Source organism: Homo sapiens, chromosome 3 (genome assembly GCF_000001405.40).
Source record: "Homo sapiens chromosome 3, GRCh38.p14 Primary Assembly".
In the NCBI taxonomy this organism is placed as follows: domain Eukaryota; kingdom Metazoa; phylum Chordata; class Mammalia; order Primates; family Hominidae; genus Homo; species Homo sapiens.
In genome coordinates this window covers 58,482,828-58,507,182 of record NC_000003.12, presented here as the reverse complement: position 1 = coordinate 58,507,182, position 24,355 = coordinate 58,482,828, and the positions used below count along the sequence as shown (strand labels likewise).

The 24,355-nt window shown below is 43.4% G+C and overlaps 2 protein-coding genes and 1 long non-coding RNA gene across 9 annotated transcripts in view, besides 1 other annotated feature; 1 reads left to right on the top strand and 2 right to left on the bottom strand.

Moving 5' to 3' along the window:
• Positions 1–2,047, top strand: part of ACOX2 (acyl-CoA oxidase 2) — a 32,055-nt gene extending 30,008 nt beyond the window's left edge. For all 4 annotated transcript variants that reach the window (NM_003500.4, XM_005265505.2, XM_047449042.1 and 1 more), the window contains one exon: positions 1,897–2,047. In NM_003500.4, coding sequence (NP_003491.1) covers positions 1,897–1,959 — 63 coding nt within the window. In that variant the 3' untranslated portion in view covers positions 1,960–2,047. The remainder of the gene's footprint in view (positions 1–1,896) is intronic.
• On the bottom strand, positions 4,823–15,087 carry KCTD6 (potassium channel tetramerization domain containing 6). 3 transcript variants are annotated; one of them, XM_005264937.3, is made up of 3 exons: positions 12,775–15,087; positions 8,401–8,470; positions 4,823–6,237 (listed from the first exon to the last, which is right to left on the bottom strand). In XM_005264937.3, exons 2-3 carry the CDS (start codon positions 8,425–8,427, stop codon positions 5,551–5,553), a joined length of 714 nt encoding a protein of 237 aa, XP_005264994.1. In that variant the 5' UTR covers positions 8,428–8,470; positions 12,775–15,087; the 3' UTR covers positions 4,823–5,550. The 3 variants fall into 3 exon arrangements, with proteins under 3 accessions (XP_005264994.1, NP_699162.3, NP_001121686.1); NM_001128214.2 differs by having other exon boundaries at positions 4,827–6,237; positions 15,014–15,087; NM_153331.3 differs by lacking the exon at positions 12,775–15,087 and having other exon boundaries at positions 8,401–8,818.
• Positions 14,787–15,436: a silencer, noted in NCBI's record as "silent region_14490". NCBI's record gives its function as "represses an Ori minimal core promoter by ATAC-STARR-seq in GM12878 lymphoblastoid cells {active_cell/tissue: GM12878}" and the evidence as "EXISTENCE:reporter gene assay evidence [ECO:0000049][PMID:35858748]".
• The window catches only part of LOC107986092 (uncharacterized), a 51,164-nt gene continuing 49,233 nt past the window's right edge, over positions 22,425–24,355 (bottom strand). For both annotated transcript variants that reach the window (XR_007095933.1, XR_001740719.3), the window contains exon 4: positions 22,425–22,611. This is a non-coding gene — a long non-coding RNA (uncharacterized LOC107986092). The remainder of the gene's footprint in view (positions 22,612–24,355) is intronic.

The following is a 24,355-nucleotide window of genomic DNA, read 5'->3' as shown; positions in this document are numbered from 1 at the left end:
CTGCTGCATACACAGTGCCACACACTCTTGTCATCCTAGCTTATATTACCTTCCTAAAAAGGTGACAGGTATAGCATTGTGGATCTTTCACGCATGATAATTTGGGAATGTGAAGTTACAAATGACCTTAGTGAACTGTTTCCAGTCAGTTAAAATGACATGAGGCTGCCTGCTAATGTACATGATCTTACATTTCTGGCTCCTTTTAGAGATCACCAAAATAGCACTTTTAAAGTGTATTTTTTAATGTGCTGTGGATAATTTTTTAACCCTACTCTTAAGATATAATGCTATAATTTTGAAGCTGCAATAAGAGACATTTTCCTCATTTGCACTAATAGAAAAAGGCACACTACAGATATTTTATGTATTTTTATTTATTATTATTTTTGAGACAGAGTCTCGCTCTGTCATCCAGGCTGAAATGCAGTGGCACAACCGCGGCTCACTGCAACCCTCTGCCTCCCAGGTTCAAGCAATTCTCCTGCCTCCCAAGTAGCTGGCATTACAGGCACAAGCCACCAAACCCAGCTAATTTTTGTATTTTGTATTAGTAGAGATGGGGTTTCACCATGTTGGCCAGGCTGGTCTCAAACTCCTAACCTCAAATGATCCGTCTGCCTCAGCCTCCCAAAGTGCTGGGATTATAGGTGTGAGCCACCATGCCTGGCAGATATTTTAAATAAAACAGCAGCTATGTTGAAACACACCCTGTAGACATAAAAGTACAGACAGGAATATATTTCACTGACATTTTTCTACCAAAAGAAAAGTGCTATGCTAAGGTAAACATCTTAGAATCATAGGAGAAGCTCTCTTCTGTCTGGGGCAGCGTTGAGCTTTATTCCTGGACAGGATGATGTGCTTTCTTGGTTTAAGGGAAGAATCATTGGGGATAATTTCAAAACAAAAATCCTGTTTTTCCCCAATTATTCTATTGTAAAAATGTGTCCAAGTAGGAGTTAGATGCATTAAATACATCTACTGATTCATTCATTCAACAATTCAACAAATATTTACTAAGTACATACTTTGTGCCAAAAACTATTCTAGATACTGAAGATACACTGGAGAACAAGAGTCATAAACCCAGACTGAGTGCAGTGGCTCAAGCCTGTAATCCCAGCACTTTGGGAGGCTGAGGCGGGTGGATCACTTGAGGTTAGGAGTTTGAGACCAACCTGGCCAACATGGCAAAACTCCGTCTCTATTAAAAATACAAAAATTAGCCAGGTGTGGTGGTGCACCCCTGTAATCCAAGGTACTCGGGAGGCTGAGGCACAAGAATCGCTTGAACCCAGGAGGCGGAAGTTGCAGTGAGCCAAAATCGCACCACTGCACTCCAGCCTGGGCAACAGAGCAATACTGTCTCCAAAAAAAAACAGTCAAAAGCCCAGTGTTCGAGGAGCTTACAGTTTTAGTGTAGACAGGCACACACACACACACAAAGTAAATATTATAAAAGATGAGACTAGAACTAAGAAACAAAGAATCAAGACACTGAATTACAGCATAATGAGGATAACCTAGTCGGACCTAGAATACTGCTTATATGATCCCTATCTGGTTCCTTGCTTTGTGATTAATGTTCAGTTTCAGAGAGCCTCAAAGAGTCAAGCCTTTTATTTGTATGAAATTCCAAAAGCAAGTGATAAGCTGTGTTTTTAATTGGCCACCTGCATCCACAATTTAAAATCTGCATGAGAAAAGGAAGGATGCCCTTTGGAAAAAATGTTTCTCCATATGTTCACACAAAATGAGTCTTAGAAATAATTTTTAAAATTAAGAATCTTACGTAATGTTACTTTTTGAAGCTAGAGACTTAATTTGAAAGTGAAAGTCATTAATCCTGGCAGAAATGTACTGTGTTAATAATGCGTTTCTTTCTACAAACAGGAGAACCCTGCCTATGAGGAATATATAAGACCACTTTTACAAAGTTGGAGATCCAAGCTATGAAATAACCAACAGTATTCAAGAAGCAACCAGCACCATCATGTGATAATGGTACTATGGCATATATGCAACATTAAAATTTTAAATTAGATATTTATGTTTTAGAGTCATTATCTTTTAGATACAGTCTGAAGTGATATATGTGAAATAATATCTGTGATTTACTTCAAAATAATCCATAGGAGAAAAAAGCCAAAGTGAACAGTTGTTGAAGCTGGTCAATGGGCAGGTACATGAGTGTTCATTACACTATCCTCTCTACTTCTGAATGTGTTTGCAATTTCCAGTGGGGCGTGGTGGATCATGCCTGTAATCCCAACACATTAGGAGGTCAAGATGAGAGGATCACTTGAGCCTAGAAGTTCGAGACCAGCCTGAGCAACATAGAGAGATGCCATCTCTACAAAAATAACTATCTCACGCCTGTAATACCAGCACTTTGGGAGGCCGAGGCAGGTGGATCACGAGGTCAGGAGATCGAGACCATCCTCGCTAACACGGTGAAACCCCGTCTCTACTAAAAATACAAAAAAAGTAGCCAGGCGTAGTGGTGGGCGCCTGTAGTCCCAGCTACTTGGGAGGCTGAAGAAGGAGAATGGTGTGAACCCGGGAGGCGGAGGATGCAGTGAGCCGAGATCGCGCCACTGCACTCCAACCTGGGTGACAGAGCGAGAGTCCGCCTCAAAAAAAAAAAAAAAAAAAAAACTGGCCAGGCATGGGGGTACATGCCTGTGGTCCCAGCTATAGGGAGGCTGATTGCCTGAGCCCAGGAGGTTGAGGCTGCAGTGAGCCGTGATCACATCACTGCATTCCAGCCTGAGCAACAGAGTAAGAACCTATCTCGAAAAAGAAAAAGAAAGAAATTTCCCACAGTAAAAAAACCGTACCACTGTCCATTTATAGCATCTATTTGGTTAAATACAAGGATTTTGCTGTAGATCTAGCAAAAGCCAATAGGCTCATTAGTTAGTGTGTTTTTCGCACACATTTATCCTTGGGTTTAAAAGGACACACATACATGCACACACACAATCCTCCTAAGTGCGTATACTTGCTGTAATCTAAATAAAATACAGCTCTAAGAATGCAACTATCATTTTTTAAAAATCAACTCTTCCACAGTGATGATTTAAAATTTCATTAAAAGACATAACTGTCTCAAGTTACCCAAATAAAATGAAGCTACATTTTTCATATCATTTTCAATTGCCCAATTAGACAAAACACTCTAAATGTCACTAGACAAGTAAAATGGCAAAAAAAAAAAAAAAAAAAAAAAAAATTCAGCTGGCTACTTTTCCTAATTTACTCATATAAACAATCATTTCATTGTTAATAATCAGTAAATTTGAGAAAATTTACCAAAAGCAAACTTATCTCCAGTAAACAGGACAAGGAAGAGGCCTCATAAGTTTTTAACTTTTAAAAACTTGGGATGGGCGCAGTGGCTCATACCTGTAAACCCAGCACTTCGGGAGGCCAGGGCAGGTGGATCACCTGAGGTCAGGAGTTCAAAACCAGCATGGTCAACATGGTGAAACCCTATCTGTACTAAAAATACAAAAATTAGCCGGGCATGGTGGCGCACACCTGTAATCCCAGCTACTCAGGAGGCTGAAGCAGGAGAATCACCTGAACCTGGGAGGCACGGGTTGCAGTGAGCCAAGATCGCGCCACTACACTCCAGCCTGGGTGACAAGAGTGAGACTCTGTCTCAAAAATAAATAAATAAAAATCATTTAAAAATAAAATAAAAATAAAAACTGGAAACTAGTATTATTCCTATTTCCCCACTTGTTTTCAACCCAAATCATTTTATTTCATATTGACCTCAGCTAGCTCAACAACACGTAACTGGTTGGGCCTTTTTTTTTTTTAAGGTAACTATCAAATCAATTTTAAATACAAGATAATTTTCCAAAATGATAACCTTGTACTCGTATATTGATTTACTGAAACCACAGCAACCTGTCAATAACATCAAAGGATCTTAGTTTGAAGATGGTGAAAATAGGGTAATTACAGGTTTCTGGATGTGGGTCATTTGTCACATTTTAAAATAAATTTTCAGAGACGTGGGCAAAAATAGACATAAGGAAGTGTTGTCATCTTCCTTGCAGAGAGAGAACCTCAGAATATTCTCACAGAGAGAAGGAGAAAAGGAGTGGCCTGCTTGCCCCAGGGCACACAGCCTCAGAGCTCCACTCTTCCCTTAGAAAATAGGGAATAAATTACATGACTTCCTTTTATACTGTGGTCTAACAAAGTAGGAAGTCTCAGTACAATTAAAATAATCCTTCCTATGAGTTACTTTCAAGAAATAGAAGCACATGAACTATGCAAAATAAGACTACAGTGAAATAAATAAAAGTACGTGTATTTCTCCAAGTACGTGCATTTCTCCAACCGTTCTAGGTCATTCATTCACTGCAGTTTGTTTCTTCTCTTCAGAAATAAACTTAACTTTGTTAACAAAATACATTTGTCGATTACCACAAAACATGAGCATAAAGGGCTAAAGTCATTTTGTTCCTGTGCTTAGCACAAAACTGAAATAATGGTCATAGAACTGTGGGCAATTAAAGTAAAATCTGTAACCTTCAACATAAATTCTTTTGAAAAAATATGAAAAACTGTATGTTCACTGTTCAAATATGCACCCTTTTAGTCAAAATTAATAATTCCATCCATCCTTGTTTCAGTGACGCAACAGTTCTTATAAACTGCAACCTAAGATCCCACTGTGTCCTCTCAAATCAAATACAAATGTGCTATGGGCAGTAAACACTGGGACATAAACAATGCATATTTTAGACAAGAAATATGATTTTCTCCCCTTAAGTAATAATAATCAATAAATACAAACTTAATTTTCATATTTCATTTTTTATTAGTTTTGTTTTTTTTTTCTGGTAGACAGTACACTTGGGAATTATACTGCACCAGGCATAAAGAGTAAGTTTTCTACCACAGGGACATTTTGTATTCAGAATTCAATATAAATATTTCTAGTCAGACATTTCCATGGCTACAGATATTTGGTTCCTTGATTTATATGCATAGAAAGAAACAGTTGTCATAACTGTAAAAAGCAGTACTTAATAAGTACTTTTAAATGATTGGAACAGTTTTCCTTTAATATTACAATACTACTTATTTATTGGTTTGGAAACTAGGTCACCCTACATGATGTTTTGATTTTTCTCAAAGGCATCATGAGTACTCTGCTTATTCTTTCATTCTTGTATTTTTAGCCTTCTAGTTGAGTTAGGGACCATTTTATCAGAAATCATTTTAGCACTGTAATAAGAAAAGCTCTGTTAAGGGTAGATTATATACCATAATGATTTTCAGACTTCTTTTTATAAAAAAGGTATCTGGAGACTCTGAACAGGCACATGCATACTCAGGGGGAAGGGAACAAAACATGGAGGAGTCTGCCAAAGCACAAAACTTCCTTCTGGTCCTCACTGCCTTCAAATAAATACAACTATTTAAAAGAAAAAAAATATCTCACACTGTGATTTAAAAAAAAAAATCAGTATCTTCCATTTCCTGGAGAGTCTTTCCAGGAACCTGTGGCAGGGTCGGAGATCAGTCGTCTGTCTTCCGGGCTAGCCTACAGAAAGTCCAGTTGTGCTCCACTGTGTTTTCATTGGCCCGCTCACTCATGTGATGCACCCGGGTGTTGCGGATCGTGAAACCTTGTTTTGTAATGTATTCCATCAGGTGGACCCTAAGAGAAACTTCCTGGTGATAATCACAGGGTCCAAAAGTAAAGGAAACCTGGCAGTCTCTGGTGTCCATCATGTGCTTATTCCACTTGGTAAAATAATTTGAGATGCCTTCTAGTAAGGAATGGACCTTAGTGGTGATGGTTAGTTGCGTTATGATGACAGCCACTGGGTTGGAGTACTTAGAAAGCTTCCGAGTACTAGACAGCTCCACAACTTCTTCAAAAGTATCCATGGGATACAAAGGCTTAGGATCATTGAGACACTGAATCAAGGGCTCAATCTGGTAAAAATCTGCTTCTTTCCGAAGCAGATCAAATTCCTTAAAATCCAACGGTAAGGTCAATTCTGAAGTTCTTAAGAAGTTGAGGACATATCGGAAAAGAGGTCCATCTCGATCAATAAAGTAATTGCCTTGAGGGTCTCGAGCTGTGGGGAAGTCCCCCCCAAACATAGCTCCAAGCATGGAATCCGGGTAACGCGTCAATGTGGTGAGAGACGTTGTATACAAGTGTCCACCTACATTTAATGTGACTGGGTCAGTCATCTGAAATTTGTAAAGAAATGATCAGTCATCTGAAATTTTTAAATACTAACTTTGACAAATTAAGAAAGTAAGTGATACTGAGCAAAGCCCAAGATTCTTTCAGGCTATAATGTATTTAGTAATCCTCTAATGCAAAATGACTTTACTACCAGCAATAAACCCACCCAGATGAAGTGATCTAACATTTGCTTTCAATAGAAAAAAAAAGGAGAAATCCAATTTCTCTTTAAAGACTTATGCTAAGAATACAGGGCATTGACTTCCAGAGCCAAATCATTTCAGGCCCATTATCTATAGAGTTTTCAGGCCAGAATATATGTGGGAAGGGAAAAGCCACGCTAAAATACACTTATTTTTTTCTGATTTTTTTTTAAGGCTTGCATTTTTCTGAATTTAATTTAACATTAGATAGAATTAAAATGATCTGATAATATAGACATTTACTTTCAATATTTCTTTGGTTTCTCCCCCTCAAACAAAAGGAACAAACTATGAAATTTGTTTTTAAAATAAAAATTTGGGCCAGGTACAGTGGCTCATACCTGTAATCCTAGCACTTTGGGAGGCCGGGGCAGGCAGATTGCCTGAGCTCAGGAGTTCAAGACCAGCCTGGGCAACATGGCAAGACCCCATCTCTATTAAAAATACAAAAAAAAAAAAAAAAAAATTCACTGGGTGTGGTGGCCTGAGTAGTCCTAGCTACTTGGGAGGCTGAGGTATGAGAATCACTTGAACCCAGGAGGCACAGGCTGCAGTGAGCCAAGATCATGCCACTTCACTTCAGCCTGGGCGACACAGAGAGATTTTGTCTCCAAAAAAAAAAAATTATTTAAATTAAATTAAAAACTGTGCAGACCTAATCTTGGTAACTTTTTCATGGAAGTGATACTTTCAAATACTAAGTTAAAATATACAGTTTAGTCAATACAACCAAGCCAGAAAAGCATCACATACCCAAAAGCTTACAGCAGCCATAAAATTTCATAATCTGATAGTGTATTCACTTTTGTAACATTAATGCTGCAATCTGGCCTTTAATTCTGAGAAGCAAGCTTCTCTTAAAAAACATACCTTCAGTTTTAGAAATACTATTTACGAAAAAAATAGGCCAGGTGTGGTGGCTCACACCTGTAATCCCAGCACTTTGGGAGGCCAAGGAGGGTGGATCACTTGAGCCCAGGAGTTGCTGACCAGCCTGGGCAACATGACAAAACTCCATCTCTACAAAAAATACAAAATATTAGCCACACATGTTGGTGCCCACCTATCGTCTCAGCTACTCAGGAGGCTGAGGTGGGACAATCACCTGAGCTTGGAAAGTCATGAGCCGAGATCACGCCATTGCACTCCAGCCTAGGGAAAAGAGCAAGACCCTGTCTCGAAAAAAAAAAAAAAAAAGGAAGAAAGAAAAAAGAAAGGCAGACAGAGACTTCAGGTATAGGCAAGTAAAATATACCTTACACCAAAGGAATAGAAAAATAGGGAGACATATGCACACACAAAAAATGCAAGTGGGGAGAAGAGGCACTTTCTCAACCATTAATCTCCCAAACCACAACAAAATATCCTCCAAACTCACTAGATCCCTTTGTAGTCACTATTCATGAAGAAAGAGTCTTCAGAGCAACACACTTGAAAAAATAAAAAATCACGTTACCTCTCCAGTGATTATAAAAAGTATTTGGAAAATCCATTTTGAGTTTGATTCCATTAAAACACCAAACAAAGGCAGAGGATCGTTTGAGGTCAGGAGTTCGAGATCAGCCTGGCCAACATGGTGAAACCCCGTGTCTACTAAAAATACAAAAATTAGCCAGATGTGGTGGTGCACGCTGATAATCCCAGCTACTCAGGAGGCTGAGGCAGGAGAATCTCTTGAACCTAGGAGGTGGAGGTTGCAGTGAGCCAAGATCGCGCCACTGCACTCCAGCCTGGGCAAGAAGGCGAGACTCCACATAAAAAAAATTAAATAAAAATTTAAAAAACACCACACAAGACAAAAACGCCTCCAAAATACATCTAAACTAAGTAAAAGGGGGAAGAGAGGTTACACAAATTCACAATTTTCTTTTCTTATAAGATATACCTAAAAATACATAAGGATAAAAAGACACACAAAAATAATTCCCCAGCCTTCAAAATGCATCTCCAAGAAGCACTCACCATATAGCCCCAGTCTCCATTATCCATCTGCTCCAGTGATGCGTCTTCAAGAGCCCAGGTTTCAGGGAAACTTCAAGAGGAGAAAAACAGACATATGATAGCATATATAACTAGGAAAATAGAGAAGAAAGTCTTTTTCCACCCAACAGAGGAGGCCAAACACCAGAAAAACTACTCGTCCTTGCTCAGCTGAAACCTACTACAGGGCAAAGATCTGGGGAAGAAAGCATTCCCCTAGGGCCTTCTACATGTCCTGTATTCTTACCATAGAGAACCCATCTGGAACTAAGAGACTGAAGATTTTCAGAGAAAGAACTATACTGTACTTAAGAGAAGGAGGAAGAGTCTAGGAAGTAACCCAGTCATTCAAATTCTACCTCTCTTCTTAGAACATCAATTTTTAGAATTTATATAAGAGAATATTATGATTAACTCTACAACCTTATCCTGGTACAAACCTATAATGGTCCTCACCAAAAAGGTCATTTAAGAAAAAGGGACAGGCTGGGCGCAGTGGCTCATGCCTATAATCCCAGCACTTTGGGAGGCTGAGGCAGGAGGATCACCAGGTCAGGAGTTCAAGACCAGACTGCCCAACATAGTGAAACCCCATCTCTACTAAAAATACAAAAAATTAGCTGGGCGTGGTGGTGGGCACCTGTAATCCTAGCTATTCAGGAGGCTGAGGCAGGAGCATCACTTGAACCCGAGAGGCGGAGGTTGCAGTGAGCCGAGACTGTGCCACTGCACACCAGCCCCTGCAACAGTGCGAGACTCCATCTCAAAAAAAAAAAAAAAAAGAAAAGAAAAGAAAAAGGGAGAAGGGAAAACTCCTTTTCATCAGCATTTCAGCTATACAAGCCAATCACCTGAGTAAAAACATCAAAAATCATAAACCTCCCAGGATACCAGCATCCCTTTCCAAGAGAAATACATCAGAATGGTATTTATCTTACAATATAAAAAAAAAAGATGATGCTTTTAAATAATGATGTATTTCTCTTTGTACAATTAAAACAAATAGAAAGTGATTTAAATGCCGAAGTGTTAAAGAGCACAATTTGGGGCAAAAAGAACCTTACCGATATAGATGAGAGTCAATCAGCCAGCACTCATGGAGAGCCAGCCTTAAGACACTGAGAAATGCTCAGATACTAATGATGCCAATGTGAATTTATTTTTATCTACAATTCAAAAGCATTTAAACAAACAGTTTCCCAGCTACTGAACTGCCTTAGTCAGTTCCCTCTCACACACTTCAATCCCAAATCAACCTGTAAAGCAAACTGCAGAGCAAATTTCTAAAGCTCTGGCAAGACATGGTAAGAAACATGGACTTATTGGTATTCATCCAGGAAAAGCACTGGCTTTTTTACGTGGTCCTTTAACAGATTCACTTTTCCCACTTTTAGAGGAATCTGGCACAGAATTCCCAGAACAAGCCCTAGCTACAGAAGATCACAAAGGCTCTTTCTCAAAAGGTCACTCAGGCATGTAGAGAACATTTGCATAGCACAGCATGGGCTGAAATCAGAGCCTGAAGCATCTATTTCTCTACCTTGCAAATCCTTCAAAGCACACAACTAAAATGTGGACCAGACTATGGGGCAGTCAGTTTTTATTCTTTACACTCAGCAGTTGGATATAGACAGGCCTCCACATGCTATGGGGTGAGAAATGGAACAAATGTCAAATTCAAGACTGTTATGACAGTCTTTCATTCCTCTGACTTGCTTCACAAATAGTATCCGAAGTAAACAGGACCAAGAAATGGGCTTTGCCAATTTGTCTTGCCAGGATCTGATTCAGTTACTGATAACAACAGATTAGTAACTGAGCAATTTAAAAGGCCACTCATCCAAAAGTTCTGGTAAGATGCTCATCTTTGGCATTTTCCCATCACCCAAAGTATTCATTCTGACAGCCTCAATAATCATTCATTCAGCCAACAATTATTGTGGGTCACCTATGGAGTGGAGGGGGTGCCTATGTGCAATGCGGACACACAGAAAGAGGAAAAAGACAATCTTTGCCCTCATGGAGCTTTCCATCTATAATGGAAGGCAACATGCAATGACTGAAGTACAGAACAGAATTCAAAGTGCTGTATAACAGATGGACCAGCAGAGGCCCGTGAGAGGGGAAAAGCAAGATTTCAAATGGGAAATAGAGGACTTCTGGGAAGAGCCCATTCAGTTGAATCCTTGAAAGAAAATTCGGACAACCTGAGAAGGGATTCTAGAAGGAAGAAACAATTTAATAGACAGGGGCATGAAAGACTTTTTTTCCCCCTACAACATTCCTGATACCAGTAGGCCGAGCAGGGATTACTATCCTCATCTTAAAGATGCAAAACAGAGAAACAAGGCAGATTAAGTGACTAGCTGAGGGCGCCACAGCTGGGAAGTAACTAGATAAGAACTTGCATGTTCTGACTCTTAGTCTAGATTTTTCCATAAATCCCCTCCTAGGGTAGAAATTGAAAGAACAGAATCCAAGAGACAAGAAATTGAAAAAGCTTAACTTTAAACTCTCTATAGCCATCTATTAACCCTATCCATCCAGTAGGGTTTTATTTACAAATTTTACAGTAACTCAGCCTAACTAAACAGTCATAATGGGTTTGTAAAAATTCTCCTGAGGCCCCCCCACCAAAAAAAGGCAGGAACCCATTCAACTAGTGTGAATAACGGTTGCTGTCCTGTCTGTAGTGACATAAAGAACTCCAATCCGTGAATATCCAAATGATTAAATGAGAAACAGAAGATCAAAGACAAGGAAAAAAGCAGACATCAATGTTGCAGCCGTTAACGAAAAGTCTGTCCACTATTAACCCTTTTTTTCTTTTTTACTGCTAAATCAAAACAAGGTAACTTCTTGAGCAGTTATCTAAAAAAAAAAAAAAAAAAATTAGACGATGTCCCTGAATCTGTTCCACAGCAAAAGCAAAAGTTCCGGTACAAAGATGTAATGAAAGCTCACGCTTAATAATTCAGGAAAGCAATTATGGGAATCTACAGCCCATGTTTCTTAAAAACCACCCAAAAGCCTTCCTATACTTGTGTATAAGATACATCAAAATAAATTGAAGCAAAGTTACTATTAGTCACTTCCAATAACAATGAGTAAACTGTCTAAAGAAATCAAATTGTGCATTAAAGAGTTCAAAGGGAAAAAACAGTATTGATTAGTTTAAATTTTATCTCTACCTGCTTCTAAATATCTTCTGTGGAGATGCTTAAATACAGCAAGAAACAAACAAACAAAAAAAAAGCATGAAAAATTCCCTGTTATCCAATAGCTGGATAATGATCGGCTTCTGAATTCTGAATTGACGACCATTAGGAACATCTCTGAAACGATGCAGATGAATGAAATACAATCCCAAAGAATTTCCAGAATAGTTTCAATCTCTTCTACTGAATCATTTTCCAGAGCTACTAACAATTAGAAAATGATTCATTTGCTTTTCATCTTCTCTCCCTTCTGGCACAGTCTCCAGTGGAGGGCTTAATGAGAAGTTAAATGACCACAAGACAGGCAGCAGAAGGAAGATCTTGAAATGGGTATCAAATAGGCCTATTTTACTTGATGAAAGCAAAGAAATATCTAATATTTCAGAAAATCTACCAGGAATGGTAACAATAAAAAATTTTTCCTTTATAGTGACTTTCCTTACTAAAACTAAAGATGGTTTTGAAAGACAGCAAATGCAACCGAGCACAAACAGCTATAAAATTCAAAGAAGCCTCTGACCCTGAAAAATCAGTTCACCTGAAAAGATGTAACCTTTGATGCAAATAAAATTCTTGTGAAAACAACACTGCCCACTCCCCAAAGAATATAAAGCAGTGCTGAAAATTCAACCATGTTTAAGCTTCAAAGGTTATTGTGACTAATGTATAAATTCTGACAGTGTCATGTTAGCAGGTAATTAAGCTTAAGAAAACACATACTGAAGAATTTATAGAAACCTTAAAAGGAAGTATTAATTTTCTAAAGTAGCATATCTGAAGAAATGCATACATAATTCAGTAAGTTAATAACTTAAAAAAATAACCTAAGAACCCTTAAATGCCATTCTCCCTATCACTGCAGAATTGCAATTACAGGCCTAATGGTTATGATGAACTAACTTAACAAAAATATTCTGGGTTTATCATTCCTGCTATAGATTAAGAATTCTCCGGGGCAAAAGTCCTAATCCTATATAACTACCTATATGTTGCAATAAAAACCTCCAACGAATAATAAAAAACTCCAACTACTGACTTCCCAGAGTTTCCAGGCAGCCCTTTAAAAATGCTTTTTTACTGAAACCTTCGTGTCTGGTAGTCAGAAAAGACTCAATAAACTCCCTCTTTCTATACTTACCTTCAAAATTGCCTTGTATTGAGTTTTGCTCTTCTTGAAATGTGGGAGTTTGAAAGCGAAATACTTTTTATAGTAACTAGTTCAGCGACATCTAAAGGAGTCTTTGGGGTTAACATTCACATACAGGCCAGCATAAGTAGCCAGGCATACAAGGATAATGTGATTATGGTTAGATTATCCTTAACCATACCACTGCAGAAATGGATTTTTCTCTACAAGTAATCATTTTCTCTTTCTCCTTTCTCAACCATGTGGTCTAGAAGAGAGAAGCTATAGGTTTAAAAGTGACCTAATATTAAAAAGCTGTCACAAATAGTCACAAAATCATAACATTCCTCTTAACCCTCAGTTTCCGCAAGATAAAACGGGATAATACCACCTTCCCAAAACGGGGTAATTACACCATTTAGGCACAACACAAAGGCAAAAATTGGCCTATAAGAGTAACACATCAGGACAAGGAAAGAGAACAGGTTCCCAGGGAGGTCCTGTAGTTGAATTCTGCTCCGTTACTGATTATGAGACCCTGAGAAAATCACTCTTTATGCCCAGCTTCTTCTTTGGGGAAATGGAGAAAATAAGGGAGATCATGAATATAAAACCATCTGTAAACTAGCAAGTATTAGACAAATGTGAAAACATTAGTGGCAGCAGCATAAACAAAATTTCTAGGTTAACATGAGAAACTTGAGTGTGAACACAAGTAATTTAGAGCATTGGCCTGGAGACGGCAAATATGGAGGAGGCAGCCTCTTAATTTGCTTCAAATCTCCCCAGGTCCTCCTTTTCCCAGAGCTCCAGAAGGGAGAACTATATACAGGTAAAGGGGAGTGTCTAGTTTTCCCAGAGTTCACCAAACACCTGAGCTCCTGATCTCAGAAGGAACTTCTTTAAAGCATGACTCGGGATTATCTCCAAGTTAAAGCTGAATCCAAATACATACAGGTACTCCATTTTAAATGGACCCCAAATATCAAAATCCAAGCGCACTGAAGGATTCATAGGGTTCACCCTAAGATTCCTTTAAGTAGTAATGCTTTGGTTAAAATATGATTTATGAAAATTCAAATCACAAAACTTTGGAATGGCATCCATGGCTATCCTGACCACTCCATCGTTCATATCTAAGGCATAGCACAAAATCAAGTATCAGTATGGACTGATGGTTTCGGCCAAAGAGAAAATACTCTCAACCTACCAACCCTGCTGACAAACACATTTTCCTTTTCCTAGCTACATATTCGTTCATTTGAAAACATCTCAATCTTGGGCTCAGGACTGTGCTACATGCTGTCCCCAAGCTTCTCTCCTATCCCAGGATGATTCAAGTAATAGGGCATTTGTGACAGCGAAAAAAAGAACATGCCAGGGGGATATAGAAGAGATACTTAGGCTACCCCAAATATTCTTAGCCGAGCCGGGTCATCCCAGGTCACTTTGCCACCCAAACCTCTTCTATCACAAAGTCCTAAAATTGGATCCATCAACTTGTTCTAGAACTGGTATACTTGAACAGAAACATGGTAACTTCGGCAGAATATCCAAACAGGATCTCTGTCACGTTTCATTTCCCCGTCCCACCCCCAGACACAGCCTCCACCACTGTCAGCCCAGCAGGTGCTGCCAGGGCTCCCCATTACCATGGCCATTTATCACCTCTGACATCAAGCATTAAAAACGCCACCACACACACACAAATCTAGGCATAAAGAACTCAGCTGCGATCTGAGAGTCTCTTCAGGGCAGAAAATCCCAAAGGCAGGGTTTTGAGTCCTGCCTCAAGCTTTAAACTAGGGCAATTGGTGGCTAATAAGCGCCATCTCCCAAAAACAATCATTTTCGAGCACACCCCAAATATCTCCGTCCGGGCCGCCCTTCGCTGCTGCCCCGCCAGCGAAGCCCCCGCAACCCGACCCGGCCAGGGGTAGGGCGGGCGATGCTCCGGGCCCGGACGAGGGGCGCGCCGCGGGGCTCCGAACCCGGGCCCGCAGAAACCGCGCATCCCCGCCGGGCGGGCCCCGGAACCCCCGCCCAGGCCCCGCCGCGGGCACCTCCGCTGCTGGCTCGTGCCAGCCCGGGACGCGCGGTCCCCTCAACGCGGCCCCGCCGCCGCCCCGTTCCAGGAGCCCCCGCCCAGATCCTCCTCAGCCCCGCTCCCCTGGCCGCTCGGCGCAGACGTCTCCTGAAACCCGGCCCTCCCAAACCCCGGCCCCGCAAGCCCCGCGCCAGCCCCACTCACTGCGCGGCGGCGGCGGCTGCTGCGGCCGGGCCGGGAGATGCCCGCGGCCGGAGAGCGCGAGCGCGGGGACAAGCGAGCCCGCGCCCGGCGACGGCGGCGGCGGCGGCGGCAGAGGGGACGACTGAGCCCGCGCCCGGAGTTGCGGCTCCAGCTGCCCGGCGCGGGCGGCGCCTTCCCAGCAGAGCCGCGGCGCCACGAGCGCGGGCGCCCCCTAACGGCAGCGCGGGCTGGAAGCCAGAGAGCGGGCGGCCTGAGGAACTCAGCCAGCGCAGTCGGAGCCGCGCGGTCAAGACCACACGACCGCAGCCCCGAAGCCCCGCCCCGAAGCCCCAGTCCCGCCCCTTAGGCTCCGCTCCGAAGCCCCGAAACCCCGCCCCTACGTCCCGCCTCCGCCCGCAGCCTGGGGTCCGCCCAACCCCAGGCCCACTGCGTCCTCAGGGGTGGTGCCTCCACAGCTGTTTCTCCTTAGTCATTTCACGAACTTGTATGGGCCCCCCACTATATCTCAGGCCTGGGGGTTTAGGAGATACAGCGGCCACCAAGACGGAGGCGGGTCCTAATCAAAGGAGAAGACAGACAAGACTCAAGGAAACAGCTAATAGACAAAATAATGACAAGTTATGGCCGTAAGTGTTGGGAGGGACATGATTAGAGGACTTAGATGGAGAAGAAGGGAAGGGAGCCCCTGCTCCAAACGCAGTGGCCGAGGAAGACCTGGACCCCGACCTGCGGCCAGAGCTCCTCCTGCCTGCCCTGCATTGGGGAGACAACCCTGCGATGAGGCCTGTGAAGAAGCCCCCGGGGCCACCGGGGCAAGACGGTCTGGTCCGGCCTGACGGGCAAGACAGCAAAGGGCTGCTGGGCCCAGAAGCTCAGCAACACGGGCAGCCAGGTGGAGAGAAGGGCAGAGCTACCTTCAGCAGACAAAACGACCCATGCAAAGGCTCTGGGGCCTGGAGGAGCTCGACCCTAGATGAGACTGGCGCTGGTATTGTCCCCACTTCACCAGGAAGGAAGCCAAGGCTGCAGAGGATGGGCAGCACCTAACGCCTCAGGGCTAATTGGTCTCCATCCGTCCACTCGTTCCAAGTCCATTCACTTCCTGCTAGCCAGGCCACTGTCCCCTTCCGGTGGGACCAGTTACCTGATGCTGGGTTTAACCTTCTCCACCAGAATAACCACTGGCCTTAGAAACTCACTTGGGTTTCACGTCTGCATGTGTGTGAGCTAGCTCTGGGGTTGAAATTGTATCAGCATGATCATCACAGTTATATCTGATACTTGATTTGTCTCCAAAAGCTCAAATTGATAGGTTAAATAAATGACATATGCTTCATCAACATAACTGAGTGCTACATTATCAAATTCACAAAGACTAGGTGAGAATACAGGGAAATGTGTGTGAAAATGATCAATACACAAACTAGTACACATGATATCCTGATTTTATTTTTAAAAACATAAATATATACAGACAAAAATTTTGAAGGAAATACATCAAACCATTGACCATCGTGTTCAAGATAACAGTATGGGAATGTTAATGGCATTACTTCATAACGTTCTTCTGAATTTTCATGAATATTGAATTTATAATCAGAACACATAAATATTGAATTTATAATCAGAAAAATACAATGAGTTTTGGTTTGGTTTTTCTTTTTTTTTTTTTTTGCCCCCCACTCCTCCCCACCCCACTGGGTTTTGTTGTTTTTTAATAGAAGGACAATACCAAAATTACCCAATACTCAGATCTCCAGAATTTGGTGCCACTGAAAACCCAGAATTGCCTCTGATTTACTGGGTATCCTTGAAAGAGTCATTTCCCCTCTCAGGGCTTCTATTTCCCCATATAAAAACTGATGGATTAATTTTGTTGGTGATTTTGTCAGACCTAGTCCCTCCTATCTTAAAATTTTTATAACTAGTGCTAATTGTACTTTCACTTTTGTATTTTATAATTGATAGATGGCTATTGAAATGCAGTTGGGTTTTATATAATCTTATATTCAGCAAAAGTGAACTCTTTCAGTTCTAATAAGTTTGTAGGTTCTCTTGAATTCGCTGTGCAAATAATCATAGAGTCTGCAAGTCATAACAGTGTGGTATCTTCCTGTCCTTTTTTTCCTTTTTCTTGCTGTACTGTGCTGACTAAATTCTCTCACACAATGTTGAAGAGCAGTGATGGTAATGGGCATTTTTATCCTGTTCTTGACTGCTTGTAACATATCACCATTAACTATAGTGTTTGTTGTGGATTTTTTGATAGATATTCTTTATCAGGGTAAGGAAGCACTATTCTTCTTTACTATGAATGGGTGCTGAATTTTATCAATGTGAGATTCCCCCCATTGCAATGTAATGAATTACAACCATGGATCTTACTATATTAAACCATCCATGTATTCCCGGGATAAACTCGCCTTGATAATGTATTTTTTTAAGTCAATGCATTTTTATTCAAGGAATTTCACACGTCATGATGTATTATTTTTTCAGTATACCGCTAGATTCCATTTGCTGATATTTCATTTAGGGTTCCATTTGCTAATATTTCATTTAGGGTTTTTGTATCCACGTGGATGACTGAGATATGCTACTATTTGCTTATTCTCTCCTCGTCTGGCTTTGCTATCAAAGTTACATGAGCCTCATAACATACCTTAAGGAATGAGTGTCTATTCACTAGACTGGGATTTTCTGTAGTTTGAATGTTCTATAGGATTCTCCCGCAAACCATCTGGATCTGTTGGTTTGGGGGGTTGGGGGTGGAAAGGGTTTATATTGGAAGCTGTTTGCCTCCACAGAGCTCAGGGTTGCAAGCCTGCTGGGGAAGGCTGGCTTCTGGTTTACAGCTGCCCCTGACCCTCTGCACCTTTCTTTTCCAGGTGGCCACCAAGTATCCAGGCTCCTGTGGTAAAGATACTGATCCTGGTCTGCCCTGGGGCCAGGCTGACCTGGAGGGGGCTGTTTATTATTGCAGCTACACCTGTTACAGGAAGGAACCAAGCCCAGCACGGTGCTGGGAGGGCAAAGGGGCACCAGCAGTTGACAAGACAATGAAGTGTGGAGATCTGAGTCCCCTCCCTCTCTCCCTTCTCCCAACTCTCACTGCCTAGCCGACCTCACCTCCTACTTGTCAGGAAAACCTTTCCCCTTCAGTGGGAGCCCCCTAGAACCCTCCTCTGCCCTCTTTTGGAATGACCTGCATTGCACTGTCCTCCCCTCATGAGATGGCTGGGGGATTCCACCTCCTGTCCAGGTGATCCCCTCCCTGGGCTCTAGTCCATTCCTTCTCCCACCCTTTAGCCTCTCCAGGCTCAGATCTTCCATCCCTCCCTCTCTCCAGTCCCCATCTCCCACGCCCATCAGCAGATAAACAGCCTCAGGTCTCTGTCCCTGACTCAAGAATTTTCAGACTTCTCCTTCGACACAGTGTCCCCCTCCCTCTCTTCCTTTGCTGTGTCCCCCCACTTCCCCTAAGACCCCAACCCGTAACATTCAATCTGGCCTCAGGGCCCACCTCTCCATCTAAATGGCTCACCAGAATCCTCCTTGATACTAAATCTGAAAGAACCTCCTCCGACCTGCATGGCTCAGGCCTCTCCGCAGCAAGGCTTCTGCAGTGACGTCTGCCAGGGGACAGCCCCTTCCCTTGGCTTCTAGGATGCATGTTCTCCTCCTTCTTCCATAGCTCCTCCTCTTAGACTTACAAAGATGCTCCTCTTGCTTTACCCCGACACTTAAGCTCAAGTTCCTGTTCAACACAATCCCCTCCTCTCCATGTACCCCTCTCCATGGAATGGTTCAGCCACCTCCATGGATTCCTTTACTGTGTCTGAGCCAAAGGCTTCCAAATCCCTGTCTCCAGCCCAGCCCTCTATCCTGAATCCAGAGCTATAGATCTTGTCTGTTCTATAGCCCCAATTCTGTACAAGGTACTGTGCTAGGTGCTTTTACCCACTGTATCAGTTACCTTTTGCCACATAACAAATAATCCCAAAAGGTAGGGACTTAAAACGGCTTCCAAGTGCTTTCCCCTCTGTTTCTGTGGCTCAGGAACTTGGAAGCAGCTCAGGGTCCCGCAGGAGCTTGCAGTCTAATTGGCGGCAGGAGCTGCACTCATCTGAAGCCTGGAGACTTCCCTTCCAAACTCACTCATGTGGCGTTCAGCATAAGGCATTCATTCCTTGTCATGAGAGTCTCTCCTGACAACATGGTAGCTGACGTCCCCCAGAGCAAGTGACCCAAGAGAGAGCAAGATAGAAGCCACAATGTCTTTTATAACCCAGCCTCAAAAGCGACACACATATGATTATGGTCCCACAGATCAACCCTACTACAGTGTGGGAGGGCACAACAAGGCGTGAACCAGGAGGCTGCCACCACACCCTCACGACAGCTCTGAGGGCAGAATACCCCCACCTCCCACGGGATACGTGAGAAGGCAAAGGCACAGAGAGGTGAAGTTATTGATCCAGGCCACGTGACTAAGTGTGGCAGGAGAGACTGGAACATGGTTCTGCCGGCTCCCTGCAGTTTCCTCCTCCTCACAGCCCATCGAACCAGGGTCTACCGCCAGCCTCCTCACCCTCAGCATGTGCAAATCTGAACTCTCCTCACCACCCCCAAACCTCCCAAGTCCCCAGCTCAGCTCGGCAAATGGCGCCTCCGTCCTCCCATCTGCCCAGACCAGAAGCTTTGAGTCATGCCTGCTCCTCCCTCCCCCTCACTTCCCAGTGCCAGAGAACCCAGCCCTGCCAAGTCTTCCCCCTCAGTGCAGCCTGGATCCATTTCTCCTTCTCCCTCTTCATCTCCACCACCAAGCCAGCAATGTGTCCATCTCGGACCTCTGCAGTAGCCCCCTCCTGGTGTTCCCCGTTCCCTCCGCCCTGACCCTACACTGCCCATCCGTCGTCCTCTCTCCAGCATGAGTCAGCTCTAAGAGCACGAAGCTGTGTGTCACCCTGCCTGCTTTATACTCCTTCAGTGGCACCCATTGCCTTCAGGGTCCAGTTGAAACTCCCTGCAGTGTGGTCTGATCCCTGCCCACTGGTCCTTCCTCCTCCCCTCTCCTCTCTCTCTGGGCCCAGCCTCTCTGGCCACATTTTAGGTCCTGGGACCCACTGCTCATTTTCTCACTTCAGGGCCTTCCGTTATGCGGTTCCCTTGACCTAGATCTCTCTTTCCCCACCCCTTAGCATACCTGTCTCCTCATCCTTCAGCATATTGTCACCTCCTCAGGGAGGTCTTCCCTGACCTCCCAGGGAGGCTGAGTTCCCCCAGCTATAACTTCCACAGTGCCTGTCCTTCCCTCTCTCCACCTTGCTGCTTCTCAGCTGGACTGTGAGCTTCCTGAGGGCAGAGGCTGTGTCCCATTAGCTCATAACTGCACCCTAGAACTTCACCTGGTACCCGGCACTTAGCATGTACTCAACAGCTATGTGATGGTTTGGTGCATACTCTGCACTGCCTCCCGCCCTCTTGCACTCCATACTCCAGCATGTGGACAATGTTCGTTTCCTTAGATGAATTACGGGATCTCTGACCTCCAGATGTTCACTCATGCTGTTCCCTCTCAGGCATGCCCTTCCCTTTCTTCCCCCAATTCATGCAGCTAACTCCAGTTTATTCATCAGCAACTTGGTTTGCCAGATTTAGCAAATGAAAATACAGGATGCTCTGTTAAATTTGAATTTCAGATAAACAACGAATATTTTTTTCATATAAGTATGTCCCAAATATTGCAGTAGATACAAGCATCCAGTATTTTACCTGGCCACCCTATCAGGAACCAGCACCACTCCCCTCTCCTTTGAGAGGTCTCCCTGGCCTTCACCTCTACTTTAGGTCTGCTCGCCCCCTAAGCCGAGGTCCCAAACCAGCCCCCTGCTGGCTCCTGCTGAGCACATAAACACTCCCTCTGTTTTGAAATATTCCGTACCAACTGGACTGTGATCTCCTGACACAGAGAACTTTGTCTCAGACTCCATTCAGAATCTCTCTTCACCTGGGACAATCTTGGCCCTCAGGAGATGGTCAGTCAGGTTTAGAGAGAAGAGAAATGAAAAAGCAATGAAGACAAAAAAGTAAACGAGAGAGGAAAAGGAACTACGAAATGTAACACAGCCCAAGGAGCAAGAGCAGGCTGAAGCTCTTGACTGATTGCGTGCAATGTGGAGTTCCCCTTCCCACCTCCTTCCATGCCTTGCCTTGCCTTTGTCAAGTAGAGCCCCTCTTCCCCCAGTTCCAGCCTCAGGGAGCTTTCAGATTATTCTGGAGCAGGAATGCAAAAAGAAACCAGTCTGGGTCCCTTTAGAAGGTTTTCCAGAACAACCTCTTGAGCTTTAAAATGGGAGGCCCTAGGCAGGCGCAGTGGCTCACACCTGTAATCCCAGTACTTTGGGAGGCCAAAGCAGAAGGATGGATCACTTAAGCCCATGAGTTCGAGACCAGCCTGAGCAACATAATGAGACCGCCCCCGCCCCCACCGCCATCCCTACAAAAAAATACAAAAATTAGCAGGGCATGGTGATGTGCGTCTATAGTCCCAGCTACTTAGGAGGACGAGGTGGGAGAATTGCTTGAGGTGGTTGATGCTGCAGTGAGCTGCGATTGCGCCAGTGCATTCCAGCCTGGGAAACAGAGCAAGACCCCATCTCAAAAAATAAAATAATTAACCAATTCATTAATTAAAATAAAATGGGAGGCCCTGTGAGGGAGCAAGGTGGGAGTTCATGCTTCAGCCCTGGATGGAGGACAGCTGTGAGGGTGCACTGGGCAGGGAGGCACCCCTGAAGCGGGGGGCTGCTCAACTGCTATCAGAGTCCAAGCAGGTCACCTGAGGGCCAAACCCGCACTCAGCCCACACATGGCCATTCAAATTACCTCCCACAAGCTCTGCCATGCTGGGGGTGGTCCCTAGGGACTGCAGGAGGTGAGGAACCCTAAAGCAGTGAGTTGCATCGATTATCTGAACCCTCATCTCTGCTGATCTCCTTCCAACTACCCGTTGTGGCATATTCTGAGCAGTCGAGGAACTGGCCAGTGGGGAAATGCACTCCACTCTGCCTCTCTTGGTGGTGGGCTCTGTCTCTTCTGTGTATAGGTGTGTGTATGGGTGTGTGTGTCCCTTTCTTTTCCTTTGGTCCTTTTGCCACCAGTTTCACCAGCTGTGGTTTTCTTAGGACTTGTAAATGGCCTTCTTTCACTTTATACTCACTGGGCGCATCAACTCGGAAATAACTTCCTAAACAGTCCCCTTGCACTCTCTGTCCCTGGGAACTGGCCCCAGTCCCTCTCCACACTTTCCTCAGCTTCCAGGCCACCCTCTGGCACAAGTGACCCTTGCAGCCAGCAGTTTCCAATGCCTCCTCCACATCCAGCCATTAAGACGCTTTGGCAAGTTTGATGAGAGTGTTTTTCCTTTTTTTAATAAGGTTTCTAATTGCCTGTTATTTCCAACATTCTCTTTAATCAGCTTCCAAAACTCTGCTGGGAGCTACAGAACCAGGGAAAGGAATCTGGTTCTCACCAGTGTCAGGAGAGAGGCCCTGTGGTTGTCCTTGGATGTCACCATCCTCTTCACCATTATGACTCTGTAATTATAGACAACGGATCTTAAATTAGCCCAGGAATCAGAAGCTCTGGCTCCTGTCTTCAGCCCCAGGAGTGTCTCAGCGTGCCACCTCTGAAAAGTTAACTGGCTTTGAGACCCCTTTTATGTCAAGTGGGAATAAAACCGCCTAGCCATAGCATCACCAGCTGGTGTGAAAAAGGCTCGTAAAACAACTCCAGATTCTGAAGTCTCACCCTTTCAACTCCGTGCCCCCAAACACTTGTCTGTAACACATTTCAGGCCTTGGTTTGTCCTCCCTCTCTGTTCCTAATCCAAGCCATTTCCTCTGCATGTGTTTAGTTGTTTAGCAAGAGTGTAATCACTTGCAAAGCCTTGCTTCTCCTTTTCTGTCCAGTCCCTCCCAGGCTGGGTCTCTCTGGGTCCTAGGGCCTCTCTTTCCCCACTTTTTCCTACCTGGATGCCAACCCTCAACTTCAACCCAATGAGGGGGCACCGACCCACTGTCCCCGCCCCACCTCAAATATATTGCCTTGTCAAGGAGTTCTGCATGACTGTCTGAAATATGGTTATGACAGGGATCAGGACATGCTCCCCCAAAATATGGCAACCTGGTATACTGGATATTTTTAAGCTGAAAGAATTTGAGATGCAGGAAGGACTCTTTGACTTTCCCCTGACACTAGTCATAAGCCCTTATTTAGTTCCTTATGAAGTCCTCCACATCACACAAAACTTATATTACATAAATGTGTAAGTTTTTCTCTTGTTAATCTGTCTTTTGCTACAGAAGGAAAAAGGTATTTTTTCCTCCATATAGTTACCTTTATAGAGCTCCTATGTTTTATACAACATGCAATAATAATATTTGTAAAGTTGCCATAATACTGGATCTGTGAATGTTATAGGAGCTTCTGAAATGTAAAGTATGATTACAAGGCAAGAACACTATTTTAACCCTAGTAAAATGTCCCTAGGGTTTTGGGGCGATACAGGGTTTGGAGGGCTCAACACCTCAATGGCTAACAGTGGATCCATTGTCATCTCAGCAAAAAAAAAAAAAAAAAAAAGAAGAGAGATAGACAGAGCATCATGTCGAGCAGTAACTATAGCAACTGCATGAAGAGCCATGTTTTGGGATTCAGAATTGCCTTACACATGTCACTTATTTCCTGTTACTGACGTCAGGTCCCAAGATGACTGGGTGGGACCCCAGCTTGCTCTCTGGCTCTGTCACTTACCAGCAACCAGGGCTCGGACCCACTCAAAAGCCTCTCAGCCTCAGTTTCCTCAACTGTAAAATGGAATAAACAACTCCTATGCAGGGTTGTTACGACACTAAAATGAAACAATTAAAGTATGAAAAATTCTGATAATGCAGTGCCTGGCACGAAGTCGGCACACAATAAATTGGTAGCTCTTATTGTAATAACTAATTGCTGTACTGCTGATTTGAAGAGATAAATATAGAAGTGAAACCCTGGCAGGCAGCAGGAGAACTGGGCTGAGAGATAGGGGACTTTTTGAGACTGATGATTTGATTGTTCCAATAAGACCTCTTAAAACATCCATTTATTTTGGTTGCAAGTTGAGATATTGTCCACCTTGATAATTGCTATGAATAATTAAGGAACAATGACTTCCATTGACGTTCTTATAGCACTTGTGTGATTAATTAAATATATCTTTTTATAATCCTTTCTGAATTAAGACACACAAAACCTAAACTCCTAACATTGTAAAACTAAAGTGGCAGAGTGATGTAA